A 17,078-nucleotide genomic window follows, 5' to 3' on the forward strand; every position below is an offset into this window, starting at 1 on the left:
GACTGGTCTTATTTAAATCCCATTGAGAATGTTGGCATTTTGTTTTATCATGCAATCAACCTAGTTGGTTTCAGGCCACAAGTTCAAATAGGCTCCTGTGGGTCCTGCCTTCCATGTCGGTTTTGTTTTCAAAGCCTTTGCAGTGGGACTCAGATCTGTCCTTCGTATGCACTGCCCAGTGGCCAGTGTGGGACGTGGGCAGTGGGCTGTCCTTTTGTTCAGTTCTCAGCCTTTGGGATGTGAATGAGGGTTTAGACTTGTACATCATGTATGGCTTGCACAACTTCCTGGGGTTGCTTTTTTTTTTTTTTTTTTTTTGAGACAGAGTCTCACTCTGTTGCCCAGGCTGGAGTGCAGTGGCAAGATCTCGGCTCACTGCAACCTCCATCTCCCGGACTCAAGCAATTCTCCTGCTTCAGCCTCCCGAGTAGCTGGGATTACAGGTGTGTGCCACCACGCCCGGCTAATTTTTATATTTTTAGTAGAGATGGGGGTTTCACCATGTTGGCCAGGCTGGTCTCGAACTCCCGACCTCAGGTAATCCGCCCACATCGGCCTCCCAAAGTGCTGGAATTACAGGTGTGAGCCACCACGCCCAGCCCATGGATTGCTTTCTACTGCTTCTCCCTGCCCACCATCTCTCCAGCGACAGGGGACCACATCTCCTGGGGCTGGAAAGGAAGGCTCTTCTGCCTCAGCGTTTTAGGTGCTTGTAAACCCTATGCCTTGGTCATGGCTTTGGTGGGATACCTAGGGGCTGGGGCATCAGAGAATGGAGAAGAGTAAAAAAACAACCACTACCAAAAAACCCCATCCTCCCAAACCCTAACATCCCCCCGGGCATTCTCCTGCACCCTGGGAGCATTAGGCGACCTTTTTCTTTCCTCCCCTTGTGCCAGGACTAGAGAACTTCTGGAGCTCTCTGTCCTCTTCTGGCTTTCAGGCCGTGTTGAGTCCAGGCCCGGGGATACGGGAAGAGAATCTGGAAGTTCACTACCAGTTGGGTGGTGCCTCAAATTCTGGTCTTTCCACCAAATCTGGTGTCCCTTTACCTCTCTGACCCTCAGTCTCCTCCTATGTCAGAGGGAAGTCACAGCAGTTCTGGGAAGGAGGGCAGGCAGGCAGAAGGTGCCCTCGGGTTCTTCTCTGGCTCACACGGGATGGACAGGATGTGGGGGGAGGGGCTTAGTGCCACCTCAGTGACAAAATGAAGCCCAAGTCCCCAAACCCTAGCTTGCCTCCTGGACGGGCTGGAGAAGAAGGTGGGGGCCGCTCATCATTCCTTTCCTCTGCCCTGAGAAGAAACCTGGGAAGGCTGGGTTTCTCCCCAAAGAGGACAGAGGGTGGCGCGGAGGGCCCCGGCGGCCAGGCCAGCCCCGCGCCTACATCCCTGTCAGCTCCTGGGCCGGTGGGCGCCTGTCCGGCTGAGTGGGGTCGCTCTAGGGGGCGGCAGCGGAGTTTCAGGGCGCGGGGGGCACTGGGCGGGACCCTGGGATTCTGGGCGGTGGGTGAGGAGGGTGGAGACGGGACTCCGCGCCTGGGGGTGCGCGAGGGCGCCCCGCTCCCCAGAGCCACCAGTCCTGCGCGCCGCCGCGCGGTGCTGTCGCCGTGGCAACCGGCGCTGCGGAGGGGGCGGGGCACCGGCACCCCCGCGCTCCCAGGTCCCCAGGTCCGGCGGGGCTCGCGGGCCGAGGGGCGCGGGGCGGGGCCTCTGGGTCGGGGGCGGTGCCGCGCGGGCGGGGGAGGGGCGCGGCGGGAGGAGCCGGCGCGGCCCCGGCAGTGGCGGCAGAGGCTGGGCGGGCGGGCCCGGGAGCGGCGCAGCATCTGCGGGCGGCGGGGTAGGCGCGGGCGCGGGCGGGACTGGCTGGGTGCGCGGCTGCGTCCGCGGAGGGGGCGGCGGGCCTGGGCGACCCTGCACCTCTGGGCCGTGGGGACTGTGGGGTGGGGCGGGGGCCGATGCGGCAGGGGTGAGGCCTGGGGCCGGCGGGGTGACGGGGACCCGGCCCTGCGTGGGGAAGCCTCGGGGGGACAAGCAGAGACGCAGCCTGCTGGGAGCGGCCCAAGCTCTGCACCGGCCCGCGGCGGGAGCACAGCAGCCCCCTCCCGCCCCTCCTCCCGGGGGCTCCGAGGGGTGGTTATGGGGCGAGGGTCCTTGCGGGGCCCGGGCAGTGAAGGGCCTGGAGGCCCCAGAGTCTGTGCCAGGTCTGAGCCGCGGGGCGTGGGGGGAGGAGGGGCCTCGGCCGGGGCCCAGGAGACCCAGGACAGGTGGGCCTGGGGCCAGGTCCCTACGGAGAGGTGGCCGGGCCGGGCTCTGGCTTGCCGGGGTAGGGGCTCCGCTAGGGGCTGGAGTCCGTCCCTTCGCCAGCGCAGAGCCCCTCGGCCCGCATCTGCCAAGTGACTGAGGATCGAGCGACAGCGTAGTGGGGCGGAGGGGCTGGAGGCACGGCCGGAAAGGGTGAGCGGCGCCGTGGCTCCCCCGCTATTTATTTGGCCCCGCCACGCGCGGAGAGGGAGGAAATTCTCAGGCTGCGGCTGCAGCTAGGGGAGGCCCAGGTGGGCCTGGAATGGGCCCAGAGAGGGCTTCCTGGGTCAGACGTGTAGATCCAGTGGACGTGAAAACCGGGTGAGTGTCCCGGTGGGACCCAGAGCGCGGGGAGGCTTGGAGGCAGGGGCATGGGCTGAGGACCCTCAAGGCACCCTCCTCGCGACCTGTCAGAGCTCCGAGGGGTGGGGGTGTCCTGTGTGTGGCTGTGGGGATCCTGGGCGGCGGGTGCTGGGTGGGGGCAGGGGTGGGAGTGCAGAGTTCAACGCTTTCCCGGATCGGTGGGGCCTGCGGTGTCACCAGGGCAGTCCGAGCGCCCGACTGTCACGGGGACATTAAATTTTATGCCTTTGTCTAGACACGGCAGTAAACGGAGCCCCAGGCCTGGGGCTGTGGAGGGGGTGAGGGGCTGGCTGGGAGTAAGCCTGTCAGTGACTTTGGGGTGGGTGCGGGTGTGCGGGCCTCCATTGTCACCCAGGTGTGCACAGGCCCAGGTGCGGGGACTCCGACAGCACGGCCATGAGGACCAGTGCCAGGTGTGTGACAGAGGTGCAGGGGCCTGTGGAAGCCCGACGGGCCTTGGTGGACGGGCTTCCCGAGATTCGAGGGCAGCCACAGGCATCGCCCTGGCGCAGAGGAGCAAAGCAGGGTGGCTCTGCCGGGGCAGAGGGTGGGGGACAACACCTCGCCAAGGCAATGCGGAGCCATGGGGAGCAGGGCAGGCAGTGGCCACGCGCCCAGGATGGTGGACAGGAGGGGAGACCGAGCCTGCCCGTGCAGGGAGGAGGGGCGTGGGGGCTGCCGGGCAGGGGCGGGGAGGCTCGGAGAGGCTTGTGGGACGGATGCATCGGGACCTGGGTGGCTCTCGGTCCGGGATCAGAAAGCCTGGGAGGGCCGAGGCCTCCTTGGGTACTCCAAGAGCGGAGGGGCAGGCCCGCCTCCCTGCCCAGTGCGGCGGCGGGGAGAGGGTATTCCCGGAACTCCGCGGAAACGGCCTGAGGCCAGCAGCGCGGGCGTGGGGTCCGGGCCGCCGGAGCCAGGAGGGAGGGCGGCGCGGGCCCAGCAGTGACAAACCCCCCCGGGCTCCGGGAACGAGCTCGGCGGGCAGAAAACGCGTCCGTTCCGTTTCCTTCCTGGCGGCGGGAACGAGGCCCGGGTGCTCTGGCGAGGCAGCAGCGCCCTCTGGAGGCCTCGCTGTGGTTCGCGGCCGCCGGTTCGCGCATGGGCGCAGGCGTGCGCGATGCCTCGGGGCCCCGGCGCGGAGACCGCGCCTGGTGGGAAGCACGCGGGGTGCGGGGGGCGGGGGGTGTTGGGGGAGGCCGCTCCAGCCCGCACCCTGATCTTGTCTCCTCCGGTCTCCCCAGGTTTCGAGCTCGCCGGGCCGTGTCGCGCCATGCCCGCTGGCTGAGCGCCGCAGGGCCTCGTCCCGCCAGGCGTGGGGGCCGCGCGCGCCCAGGCCGGGGCCCGGCGGCCGACCATGGTGCTGCCGCCCCCGGACCGGCGCCACGTGTGCCTGACCACGCTGGTGATCATGGGCAGCATGGCCGTCATGGACGCGTACCTGGTGGAGCAGAACCAGGGCCCGCGCAAGATCGGCGTGTGCATCATCGTGCTGGTGGGCGACGTGTGCTTCCTGCTGGTGCTGCGCTACGTGGCCGTGTGGGTGGGCGCCGAGGTGCGCACGGCCAAGCGCGGCTACGCCATGATCCTGTGGTTCCTTTACATCTTCGTGCTGGAGATCAAGCTCTACTTCATCTTCCAGAACTACAAGGCGGCGCGGCGCGGCGCGGCGGACCCCGTGGCGCGCAAGGCGCTGACGCTGCTGCTGTCTGTGTGTGTGCCCGGCCTGTTCCTGCTGCTCGTGGCGCTGGACCGCATGGAGTACGTGCGCACCTTCCGCAAGCGCGAGGACCTGCGCGGCCGCCTGTTTTGGGTGGCGCTGGACCTGCTGGACCTGCTGGACATGCAGGCCAGCCTGTGGGAGCCGCCGCGCTCCGGGCTGCCGCTGTGGGCCGAGGGCCTCACCTTCTTCTACTGCTACATGCTGCTGCTGGTGCTGCCGTGCGTGGCGCTCAGCGAGGTCAGCATGCAGGGCGAGCACATAGCGCCGCAGAAGATGATGCTGTACCCGGTGCTCAGCCTCGCCACCGTCAATGTGGTGGCCGTGCTGGCGCGCGCCGCCAACATGGCGCTGTTCCGGGACAGCCGTGTCTCGGCCATCTTCGTCGGCAAAAACGTGGTGGCGCTCGCCACCAAGGCCTGCACCTTCCTGGAGTACCGCCGCCAGGTGCGCGACTTCCCGCCGCCTGCGCTATCACTGGAGCTGCAGCCGCCACCCCCGCAGCGCAACTCGGTGCCGCCGCCGCCGCCGCCGCTGCACGGCCCGCCTGGGCGCCCCCACATGTCCTCGCCCACGCGTGACCCCCTGGACACGTGACAGGGCCCGCGCGGCCCCCGACACGCCCCTGGGGCGCAGAGACACCGGGTTGGCTTGGGGCGCGCGGTTTGCATGGGATGGGGTGGGGGCGGGCTCCCCTAGGGACAGGTGCCTCGAGTGCCCGTGCCTGGGGTCCCGCGGCCGCTTCTTCATCTCAGGAATCTCTCGGACCGCGGATCCTCAGCCCCCGCTCCACCAGCCCGCCCCAGCGCGTGGGTCTGTTTGGGAGGCCTGGGCCGGAGCAGAGCAGAGGTGATCCGGCCCCTGCCTGCTGGGCCGCCCGGGTTGGAAGGGAGGGCAGTGTGGGCGGAGATCTGCTCCTTCGGTGGGGGCCTCTGGCTCAGATTTGGGGCCAAGGAGGCCTCTGTCATTTTAAAGACTCGTGTTTACAGTTTTGTATCCAAGGCCGCACTGCTTTGCCTGTTCCTGTGTCCCTGTGTTTACCAGCCAGGCTGGGAGGCGGGGAGCCAGGAGGGGTGTGTGGAGGGCGGGGGAGATGGTGGCGTCCAAGTGCCGGATGCTGGTGAGGCTGGGCCGCTCCACTTCCTCCGGGGCTCTCAGGAGCTCCTGGGGGCCACTGCCGCTCTGTCCCAGGGACAGCTCCTCCACTCCAGCTTCGGTGTTCCCAATTATCTTCCTGGGATACCTTGACCCCCATCTTCCCCCAGCACCGTAGGTGTCCTGGCCCCTGCTCCCCTCAACCTCAGGCATGACAGTGTCTCCCACATCCCTGGTTTCCTTCTCCCCCACCGTGGAACCTACCTTCCCTGTGGGCTCCTCCAGCCCAGGACAGCCACAGCCAGATGGAATCAGGGTGTTCCCAAGTTGATGTGGCAGCCCCAGGTCGCAGCCCCAGGAGCAGCACGGAGCCTGGCCCCACCTTACCATCCTGGCCTTGCCCCAGCACGGGAGCTGGCAGCCCCTGGCACAGGCAGCACCCGCCCTGAAGCCCATCTGCAAGGGGTCTCTCACCTGCCTTCCACCTGGGACCCTGTACCTGTGATGTGGCCCTGGGTATCCACCTGGCCTGGGAAGGTCCGTAGCATCTGGGGAGGGGCCCTTTATGAGGCTGCTAAAAGAATTGTTTGAGGATGCCCGCTCCATGAGCGGGTGATGGTCACACACATCTCATGTGGCACAGTTCACTGCCTGGGCCTTCGCTTCCCGCATTTCCACGGCCCAAAGGTGGCAAGGTTTAGCCAGCCAGGGCTAAAACCATCGAGGGGAGTGGAGCTGGCTGCTCAAGTGGGGTCCTCCCCAAGTGCATTTCCCAACAACTGCAGCAGTTAAGGGCGTGGCTGGTGGCAGCCCCAGCCGCACCCCGACCCCACACAGTCCTCATACCCCAGCTCCAGGCCACCTGGGGTCTGGCCTTTGAAAGTCGCCTGCCTTCCAGGCAGCTGGCCTCGGGACCACTGTCCTCAGGGTCCCGGGCAGGGGGACTACCTCGCTGTCCAGGTCAGACGTGGCCGGCGCTCTGCCCACCTCTAAAACCGTGCCTTGGCCCCGGCCTCCGATCATATCCCCAGCAGCCCCTCCAAGCGCCGAGCGCCGTGGGTGGGCACGGGGCGCTGGCCTGGGTAGGAGGTCAGAGGCGCCCTGCTCTGGGCTGTGCCCAGGCCACTAATGATCGTGTTGGGAAGTGGAAGGTCTGCAGGATCAAGGGGGCTGGGGGGCCGGGGAGGGGCGGTGATGAGCAGCCGTGGAAAGGCCCCAGGCCTGGCATGGAGAGAGAAGAGGGGCTGTGGGAGTTGCGTGGGCCAGTGGGAGGACCTGGGCCTTCTTGGGAGGGAGTGGTCTGGAGTGGGGGGTAGTGGGTGAGGGGCGAGCTTCATTCTGCCTGTCTGGGCTGGAGCCTGTTTCCTCCCCTGGCTGAAGCCAGTGCCGGCCCCATCCTGCCTTAAGGGTCTCCTGGGTGAAGACGAGCCCACAATCATCTTGGCTCTGGCACCTGCAGCAAATCCCATGGGAACAGACAGGCAGCGTGGCCATGGGTGAATGGAGCTGAGGGGCTCTGGGCTCCTGACATCCTGCTCTGACCCTTCCTGAAAGCCCATGGTCTCTTCCATGCTGGCTGCAGTCTGGGAGGCGTTGGGCCCAGCTTGGCCTGTGAAAGCTGAAAGCCCACACCCCCTAGTCAGAGGCTGGTTTAGCTACTCCCCTAGTTTAGCTACTCTTGGGGCAGTGAAGGCCCTGGGGCTCGAAGACCTCCCCAGGCAACCTTACCCTGCACACACCCCACTCCTCCTGGCCTGTTCAGGGGTGGTCCCTGGTCTCCGTGCTCCTTGGCACAGGCCAGTGCCCTCTACCTCTGCCACCACATCCCTGGCAGTGGAGGTCCAAGTCCTGGCTGTCCCCCCTCTCACCAGTGGGGCCAGGGATCCTGGCTCTACCCGCTATGACTTGGTTCAATGGCCCATCGCCTCTGCAACTGACTCTGAGGGCATTGGAGCAGACATCAAGCCCCACCCTGCCCAGGCCCATGCCTGGCACCTGGTTTCCACGACGAGGCGCAGCTGTGGCTCCGACTGTGGCAGGGCTGGGAAGCAGGGGGCCTTTGTCAGGCTCACGGCCTGAGGTTTCTGGCCTCTGTGATCTCCCCTGGGAACAGGACGGGGACCGGGCCGCACTCCAGCCTGCCCTTCGTGAGTTTCCTGAGGTGTCCTGCAATGGCCAGATTCGACGGAGAAGCCAGTCAGCTCCCTTGTCCCCTCACTGATTCCTGGTGAGTACGTGAGTCCTGATGCGTGTCCACTACCCGCTGGCCCTGTGCTGGGGCCTGGTGCCCAACCCAGGCAGAGACGTCTGGGGACAGCCACACTTTGGGGAGTTAGGGCCTGGGAGGAGCAGGGAGGCCTCCTCAGATGGGCTTGGGTTGGACTTGGGAGCTGGCCTCGAGGGAGGCCCGCAGGTGCAGCAGCCTGGAGGCAGAGAGCTGGGTGTGTCAGTGCCTGAGAGGGCCGTGGTGGGCAGCTCACCAGCAAAGGGAGCAGAAAGGGCCCGGGGGAGAAGTGGGCAGCTCAGAGGGAAGAGGCGGGGCTGGGATGCTGAGCAGGGTGTGGACGGAGATGCAGCTGGGTGCACCAGTGTGGTTTGGCTGGGAAGGGAGGCGTGTGTGTGGGGGAGAGAAATTGGGCAGTGGAGGTCCTGTCCTGAGAAAGGGGCTGTCTGCAGGCACTCTGCTCCCTCTCGTGGCCTAGTCTGCCTCTACACCAGCAGAGACCTCCCTGCCCTGCGGCCACCAGGAATCCATGCAGCGTGCATGCCCCACCATAGCTCCACCGCCACCAGGAATTCAGGTGCTGCTGAAGCTGCATCAAGAAAGCCCCAGCCCAGTCGCCTCCCCTAGATGAATGAGAGTGAGCTCTTTTCTAATTGTGAAGGACATGGCAGATTGTAGCTGTGAAGACACTGTCAGGTCACTCTGTGGAAGTTTGAGGTGAGCCCTTCCAGGGTCACCTGGCCATGGAGGACCCAGGCTCAGCCCATCTTTCTTCACCATCTGGGGGGGTTGGTGATGGAGCCACAACAGCAGCGAGCATCACATTGTCTCAAAATGTCATCCGCGTGAGGGAAGGAGGGACGGCTCCTCCTTGGGTGCCTCCCTCTCCTTGGGAGGAAAACCCTTCTCAGAAGCCCCCAGAATGTGTCTGCTGAGGTCCTGTGGTCCAGAGCTTGTTCCAGGACAATGTGTACACTTCCGCTGGCAGGGGACATGGGTGTCATGACTGGCTGCCTGCCCACAGGTGAGCCCGTGGTATCATGGATGCCCCAGAAGACACGAGACTCGTGGGTCTGAGACAAAGGGCCCTGTTTCTCAGCATGAGCTTCAGCTGTGGCTCCTCTTGCCTACAATCCCGTGGGGGCGACGGGAGTGCCTGGCGATGCAGCACACACAGCTGGCAGGAGCCCACCCTCCCTCTGCCATTACCCAGGAGGCCGCAGTGTGACATCAAAAATACTCTGCAACTTGGCCCAGGTTCACATTCTGCAAAAGCTGTGAGCTTGCAAATTGCCTTTGATCCTATAAGAGCCATCATGGTGATCAATTTCTTTCTACACAACGCCAGCACATATTTAACCCCCCACACGGAGCAACGTCCAGTTTAACCCGCACAGCAGCAACCCAGCCTCCAGCTCTGTCTCACCAAGCACGTGTCAACAATTCTCTTCCTAGGTGATTCCAGCAGCACAGCCTGGCAGCTCCTGAGCCCTTGGGAAGTTCTGCAGCTCGGCTTACCCAGGGCTGCCCTGGCCAAAGCCCCAGCCACTCTCCTTTACTGCAGAGAGCGGGACCGTGTCCCCCTTCATCCCCCTAGAACGGTAGGGCTGGGAGCTGCGTCAGACCTGCCTCCACGTGCCTGTGGGAAGAGACGTCGGAGTCTGATCGCAGACACAAGAAGATCAGTCACCCAAAAAGATAAAATATACTCGAACTTCCGACCCTTCATCTTCCTTTCAGAACACACTCACATTTTCTATAGGAAAACAGCCTCATAATAATAAAAACTCAATTTAGCGAAAGTGAACTCACTTATCTTAAGCAATAAGAAAGCCAAACATTATTGGATTCGTTTTATGCAGTAAAATAACGGAGATGCACTAAGTGGCAACCCCCGAGGGAAAAGCCATCAGAGTCACTGCCAGCGCAGAATGGTGGCAGAGGCTGCAAAGCCACATTCCCACCCTGGCTGAAACATGGGTGGCTTCATTTGTTGCAAAAACAAGGTAACTGCCATTTAACCAGGGAAAGATGAAGGGAAAAAACACCCCCCAATCAGAGGCTGTCAGGGAGGGCCTCTGTCCTCGGGGCTTGACCTGCAGGCAGGCCCCAGCAGCAGGGCTAGGGCCGCACTGGGCGTGAGGACCAAGCGTGCAGAGGGTCAAGAGGTGGGTGAGGAGAGGGTAGAAAAGGCAGTGGGCAGGTGGGGGGAACACCAGAGGGAGGCAGACGGGGGCAGGAGGAGGAAGGGGCCTGGGTGCCAGAGGGAGGTCAAGACAGGGGGAGGTGGGCAGGAGTGTTGCCAGACACACGGCAGCCCCCGGCCCATGCCCACCCCCGCCACCCTGCATTGGCACGAGGTCCCAGATTTCCCTGGGACAGTGCCGCCTCTCCTCACTCCGTGGCTGATGTGGAATGGACTCCGTCCTCTGAGGGCTGGGGCAGCTGCCAAGGAAGGGGCGCTAACATCACACTGTCCCCCGAGAAAGGAAACCCATGGTGACCGCTGTGCTTTGAACATTTGCGTCCCCTCCAAAACTTATGTGGAAACATAATCCCCAATGCAACAGGCTGTCCATTTTGTGTGGCTATAATAATACCACAGGCTGGGAACTAATTTACAAAGAAAAGACATTTATTTCTCACAGTTCTGGAGGCTGGAAGTCCAAGATTGAGGTGCCAGCTCTGGCGAGGGCCTTTGTGCTGCATCGGCTCACCGTGGAAGGTGCAGGGGCAGGAAAGGGTGAGAGAGAGAGGGCCCAGCTTGCTGTCGTAACCACCCACAGTGCAGATAGTAAACACGCCCCAAGATAATGGCGTTAACCCCTCCACGAGGGTGGAACCCGCCTGGCCTCATCACCTCTTAACGGCCCCACCTTTTTTTTTTTTTTTTGAGACGGAGTCTCGCTCTGTCACCCAGGCTGGAGTGCAGTGGCGCGATCTTGGCTCACTGGAAGCTCCGCCTCCCAGGTTCACGCATTCTCCTGCCTCAGCCTCCCGAGTAGCTGGGACTACAGGTGCCCGCCACCACGCCCGGCTAATTTTTTTTTTTTTGTATTTTTAATAGAGATGGGGTTTTCACCGTGTTAGCCAGGATGGTCTCGATCTCCTGACCTCGTGATCCACTCGCCTCGGCCTCCCAAAGTGCTGGGATTACAGACATGAGCCACCACGCCTGGCCTGAGATGGAGTCTTGCTCTGTCGCCAGGCTGGAGTGCAGTGGCGCGATCTTGACTCACTGCAATCTCTGCCTCCCGGGTTCAAGCAATTCTCCTGCCTCAGCCTCCCAAGTAGCTGGGATTACAGGCGCCTGCCATCACCTGGCTAATTTTTTGTATTTTTTTTAGTAGAGACAGGGTTTTGCCATGTTGGCCAGGCTGGTCCTGAGCTCCTGACCTCAAGTGATCTGCCCGCCTTGGCCTCCCAAAGTGCTGGGATTACAGGTGTGAGCCACCGCGCCCAGCTCCCCACCTCTTAATATTGCCATAGTGGCAATTACATTTCCATATGAATTTTGGAGGGGACACTCAAGCCATAGCCCAGGCTCGGATGATGGTGGTGTTTGTCAACGTACACATTCATTTCCCTCCTGGGTGAGTCTGGGCAGTGGTCCAGGCTGCCAGGACACAGATCCCTCCTACTCGTGGCCCCTGGGTCCTGGGTGTGGATCTTGCTCTCACAGGTCAGGCTGCACCATCAGGGCTCGGCGGCAGCACAGCCAGGGTGGAGGAGGTTGACGAGGCATGCTTTTGGGGTCTCTTTGGGATGGGGCTCAGGAGCTGGCATGAGGCACCTGCCCACACTCTGCTGCCCAGAACTTAGACATGCCAGTGCCCTGAGCTGCCAGGGAGCCAGGAATAGGGACCTGCCTTTGGGTGCCGCATGCCCAGGTGAGGAAGAAGGGGAGCCCTCCTGTGTTGCTGCACCTTGGTAACTTTACTGGACTTTTCAGTGTTTTCCTCCCAAGCGTTGCCCAAACCTGCATCCTGCCCAGCAGTGAGAGAGCCCAGGGACCACCTCCTCACTCACACCTGCTGCTGGCAAATCCTCTGGACAAAGTGCAATGCTGCAACATTTTACAAAACAGAGTCGCCCTTGATGGTCATAATGGCCGAGAAGGAAAACTCACGACGACGGAAGCCATCGACTGGCGAAATTTGATATGGATGAGCACCGGCCCGTGGTTCAGGTTTTCGTAGTAAAATTTATGTGGGGGAGAATTTTTTTTTGAGAGAAACGTGTGTTTAATGGTAAAAATTAGCATACCCCATCACCAGGAATGGCGTGGAGTAGGGACGGGCAGCAGGGACAGGCAGGTGACCCCTGTGGAGCCTCACGTGGCGAGGATGAGGAAGACGACCACCAAACAGAACAGCCCCATGGCCTCAGACACAGCAAAGCCCAGAATGGCATCGGAGATGAGCTGCTGCTTGAGAAACAGATTCCCGGCATAGCCAACAAGCTGCCAGACACCGTTCCAATGCCAGGCCCGAAGCCAGCCACACCGACAGGGGCTGCCCCAACACCAATCAACGTGGCTGCTGTGTCAACATCCCGGGAGACAGCTCTGGTCTGGAACTCCCACCTGGCCACCTGGTGTGGGGAGCGGCTGTAGGAAGGCTGTTCAGATGAATTTTCTGGGCTGTTCAAGAAGGAGACAGACACAGCCTGATTAGACCCGTGGTACAACAGCGGACCAGAGCTGGAGAGGTGAGTAATGCCCGGGGGTCTGCATTTTCTGTCTGCACTCCCACTGCCCTGCAGCACCTGCGGGCCCACAGCACTCGCCCGGCTGAAGGTGACCTAAGGTGACCGACTCACTTTTACTCATTGCTTATGAAATAAGCTGAATGTGGAGATCATCGGAAACATGTTTCAAAGTGCGTGAGCCTTGAGGAAAGCTTTCTCCCGCCCTCATGAGTATCCGCCCCAGGGGGTGCTTTCCTCGAGAGCTGGTCCGTGTTGCGTTCCCACAGTGAACACTTTCAAGGCTGCTGCGGGAAGTTGCACAGAAACGGCTGGTGGGCCTGGAGGGGATGGTGAGGCGCAGTGGGCCTGTGTACCGGATGCCAAATCCACAGCATGGGAGGCAGGGCCCACTGCAGGAGCCACACAGCAGCTGTGTGCTGCTCTCCCACCTGCAACCTGCACCTGTGGGGTGCACCTGAGTGACCCCGGCCCCCCGGGGTGTCTCTGGGATGCCTCCTAGGAGGAGAGGCTCCACGCCTGGAGGGAGACAGGTATCACACAGGTGCGTGGGGTGGAGTGTGATGCAGGGAGGTTGGGGCAGGGCCACACAGAGAGACCCCACTCAGGCAGGCCTTGGGTCAGGGTAGGCCTCACCAAGTGATATTATGTTGGGACTGGACCGTGGCCAAGGCTGGCCTGCAGGCAGGGGGCACACATATTCCTGGCAGGTGAGGCTGCCCACAAAGCTCACCTGCCTGAGAACCCTACCTGGCTGGGGCATGCGGGAGCCTCTGGACCTTCGCGCCGGCGGAGCCTGCAGTGTCGCCAGATGGCCACAAGGGGGCTCCCGAGCCCGGCTCTGGGTCCCTTTGAGGAGGGAGCCGCGGGACCCGGCTGTGAGACCGGGACCTGCCAGTGGTGCCCCGACCCCCCGACCCCACAGGACCCTGCGCGGCCAAAGGCTGAGGCTGCCCCAGCCCCAGGCTGTGCTGATGCCCCTGACCAGAACCCGAGCCCGATTCTGCTCACTGAACACTCATCTGCTCCCTTGCCTCTGCCTGCCCCGGCAGCGAGGGCCTGGCCAGTGGGTTCGTATCAACTCCCACGTCACCTCCCGTGTCATCTGTGTGTCACCTCCATGTCACCTCCTGCATCAGCTGTGTCACCTCCCACATCACCTGCATCAGCTGTGTCACCTCCCACATCCCCTGCATCAGCTCTGTGTCACCTCCCACATCACCTGCATCAGCTCTGTGTCACCTCCCGCATCACCTGCATCAGCTCTGTGTCACCTCCCGCATCACCTGCATCAGCTCTGTGTCACCTCCCGCATCACCTCCTGCGCCACCTTTGTGTCACCTCCCGGCTGACCATGGCCCAGCAGCATCTCCCTGTTGCAGCGTCCGGAGAGGCTGCGGTTGCACGGGGTGGGCTAAGGAAGGTGGGGCTGCCTCAGCCTGGGCCCTGAGTGAGCTCTGGAGTGGATCCCACCTCCCCACCAAAGCCCAAGCAGGAGACAACCCTTTGCTGCTGAAGCCACTGAGCGCTTGGGGCTGTTTGTTTCGGCCTCGTCCCCGACGGACGTGTCTCCCACAGTCCCAGGCCCTGAGTGCAGGTCCACACTGAACCTTGACGCTCATCGCAGACTGACCCTGGCTTGCCCTGGGTCACACTCGGGCTGAGGCCCCGACAGCCTGGCCCGGTCGAAGCTCCCCGGCTTATCTCACTCACTGTTGTCCAGGGCCCAGCCTCACGGTGACATCTGCCACAAGAAGGCTGGGACTCTGTCCCACTTGTGTTCAGGAACGAGAGACCCTGACTTGGTGTCTGTTATCAACACATTACAAACATCACTGGGCATTACAAAAGATTTCTGAGGGCTGGGTGCTGTGGCTCACCCCTGCAATCCCAGCACTTTGGGAGGCTGAGGTGGGAGGAGGATTGCTTGAGCCCAGGAGTTTGAGACCAGCCTGGGCAATGTAGTGAGACCTTGTCTCTAAAAAAATTTTAAAAATTAGCCAGGCATGGTTGCGCGTGCCTGTGGTCCCAGCTACTCAGGAGGCTGAGGCAGGAGGATCACCTGAGCCCAGGAGGTCAAGGCTACAGCAAGCAGAGATGGTGCCACTGCACTCCAGCCTGGACAACATAGCAAGACCCTGTCTCAAGAAAACCCACACAAAACACAAAGAAAGAAATAAAAATCCAGATTTCAAATAATTTAAACTTATTTATCCAACACAAAGCAGTTCTTCATGGCACACTTTAAACTTCGAAATTCTTTGCTCTCCCCATGCTTGGCTGATTGGGTCTGGGGCAGGCGATGGTGCTCACTGGATCCAGTTTCTGACAAATCTGGATTGAGACAAGCTTCAGAACTGGCCCAGATGATCAATTTTCATATAAGTTAAGGTGTCCTCCTTGTTCCACAGCTTTTAGTGATTTTTTTTTGTTTTTTTTTTTTGAGACGGAGTCTTGCTTTCTCGCCAGGCTGGAGTGCAGTGGTGCGATCTTGGCTCATTGCAACCTCCGCCTCCTGGGTTCAAGCGATTCTCCTGCCTCAGCCTTCTGAGTAGCCGGGAGTACAGGCACATGCCACCACACTCGGCTAATTTTTTGTATTTTTAGTAGAGATGGGGTTTCACCGTGTTAGCCAGGATGGTCTCGATCTCCTGACCTCGTGATCCGCCCGCCTCGGCCTCCTAAAGTGCTGGGATTACAGGCGTGAGCCACCACACCTGGCGCTTTTAGGTGATTTGATAATACATTTTTCTGTTAAAATTTTATGATACATAATATAGAAAGAATCTACGTAAAATGATGTCCATGCATTTATGCACACAGAGCCCACTTTGAGAGACAGAATATGAGGGCCTTTGGTCCTGCCAGGAGCAAAGAAAGTTAATAAAAAATCAAGTCTGGGCCAGGGGTGGTGGCTCATGCCTGTAATCCCAGCACTTTGGGAGGCCGAGGCAGGCGGATCACCTGAGGTCAGGGGTTCAAGACCAGCCTGGCCAACATGGTGAAACCCCATCTCTACTAAAAATATAAAAATTAGCCAGGCGTGGTGACATACGTCTGTAGTCCCAGCTACTCGGGAGTCTGAGGCAGGAGAATCACTTGAACCCAGGAGGCAGAGGTTGCAGTGAGCCGAGATCGCGCCACTGCACTCCAGCCTGGGCGACAAGAGTGAGGCTCTGTCTCAAAAACAAAACACAAACAAAAAAAATCAACTCTGGGCCAGGTGTGGTGGCTTGCGCCTATAATTCCAGCACTTTGGGAGGCTGAGGCAGGAGGATCGCTTGAGCCCAGGAGTTCCAGACCAGCCTGGGCAGCATGGCAATACCTTGTCACTACAAAAAATTTTAAAACTTAGCAGGGCATAGTGGTGTGCACCTGTAGTCCCAGGTACTTGGGAGGCTGAGGTGGGAGGATACCTTGAGCCCAGGAGGTGGAGGCTGGAATGAGCTATGATTGCACCACTGCACTCCAGTCTGGGTGACAGAGCAAGACCCTGTCTCAAAAAAATGAAAAAAATCACCCTGGAGAACCTGTATTTATAGGAAGACATATTGATTCCAGCGGCAAACGCTTAGGGCTGCAGAGCCCTGGGCAGGCTGGATGCTGTCTTGGCCCCATGTGGGGTGAGGGCTGCAGATTGTGGTGGAGGCCCCGGGGAGGCAGAGGGAACCCTCGGGAACCATTTCCCTGCCTTCTGCTCTCGTGACTGACCTTTTCTTGGCGAAACTTGGTGGGGGCAGCTGGGCCTCTGCCACTGGCATCCTTTGGATGCTTCCTGGTGGTGGCAACCCTGTGGGGAGGAGTTGGGGAACCTGTGGGCCAACGCGGCTCCGTGAGCCTCATCAGGCTGCAGGGCACCTTGGTTCTCCCTTCCTGACCCCTCTCTGCCCGTCTCCTTTCTGCTCTGTTTGTCAGATTTTTTTTTCTCATTTTGATTCCATTTTGTTTCTGACAACTTTCCCAAGACCATTGCTCCTCCAGAGGCGGCTGGGTCCACACAGCTTCCCTTTGTGCCGGACCCTCGCCTTGCTGGGTCTTGGGCTGCAAAGCTCGGATGCTGACAGCCTTAGGTTCCTGTGCTGACCCTCGCGGTTTCCGCATCCCACTCATCCCACTCTCACCTCTAGTTCCTTTGGAGATAGACCTTCCATGGAAAATCCCAGTTGGAGCACACCCGCCGCATTCCCGTTCCCTCACCTGCCCACTCCGTCCACGTCTCCAGGGCTGGGCTGCAACTGTGGAGACCACCGCCTCCAGCCTTCTCCATCATGGAGACTGGAAGGTGAAGCCCGGCTAGAGGGCAGCCTGGTGGTGGGGCAAGAAATAGGACGGCTCACCGGCTGAGCCAGGGTGATGAGGCCTCTCTGCTCCCCCTTCCTCTCTCCAAAGCTTGCCAGGACCCACCCAGACCAGGCTGCGGCCTTCAGCACTTCCCCAGGCCACACCACAAGACAGAGGAACTGAGCCCCTCTGGGGCACATGCCCTCCCAGGCCAAAGTAACAAGACGCCTGGAGAGAAGAGCGCCTGAAAGAAAAACAGCACCCTCCACAGCATGACTTGTGTGCAGCAGGAGTATGAGACCCTCTGGGCAAAGAATTAAAGACAAATGCGGTAACATCCTTGAAGAATTAAGGAAAGATATTAGCAATAACAGGGAGAAAGCAATAAC

General features: G+C 61.0%; 1 protein-coding gene, 1 long non-coding RNA gene and 1 pseudogene across 3 annotated transcripts, besides 1 other annotated feature; 2 read left to right on the plus strand and 1 right to left on the minus strand.

The window, feature by feature from the left end:
* The first annotated feature begins 1,767 nt into the window (after positions 1 to 1,767).
* Positions 1,768 to 5,383, plus strand: TMEM121 (transmembrane protein 121). Of its 2 annotated transcripts, none has more exons than NM_025268.4 (2): positions 1,768 to 1,838; positions 3,907 to 5,383. In NM_025268.4, exon 2 carries the CDS (start codon positions 4,020 to 4,022, stop codon positions 4,977 to 4,979), a length of 960 nt encoding a protein of 319 aa, NP_079544.1. In that variant the 5' UTR covers positions 1,768 to 1,838; positions 3,907 to 4,019; the 3' UTR covers positions 4,980 to 5,383. The 2 variants fall into 2 exon arrangements, with proteins under 2 accessions (NP_079544.1, NP_001318167.1); NM_001331238.2 differs by lacking the exon at positions 1,768 to 1,838 and adding an exon at positions 2,290 to 2,623.
* Positions 3,426 to 3,635: a silencer, noted in NCBI's record as "silent region_6253". NCBI's record gives its function as "represses an Ori minimal core promoter by ATAC-STARR-seq in GM12878 lymphoblastoid cells {active_cell/tissue: GM12878}" and the evidence as "EXISTENCE:reporter gene assay evidence [ECO:0000049][PMID:35858748]".
* Positions 5,384 to 7,039: 1,656 nt separating the features above from the next.
* On the plus strand, positions 7,040 to 9,503 carry LOC105370697 (uncharacterized). Its single transcript, NR_135205.1, has 2 exons — positions 7,040 to 7,704; positions 8,154 to 9,503. It is a non-coding gene; the product is annotated as an uncharacterized LOC105370697 (long non-coding RNA).
* On the minus strand, positions 11,931 to 12,477 carry ATP5MC1P1 (ATP synthase membrane subunit c locus 1 pseudogene 1; annotated as a pseudogene).

This window comes from Homo sapiens, chromosome 14, assembly GCF_000001405.40.
Source record: "Homo sapiens chromosome 14, GRCh38.p14 Primary Assembly".
NCBI classification, from domain to species: Eukaryota; Metazoa; Chordata; class Mammalia; order Primates; family Hominidae; genus Homo; species Homo sapiens.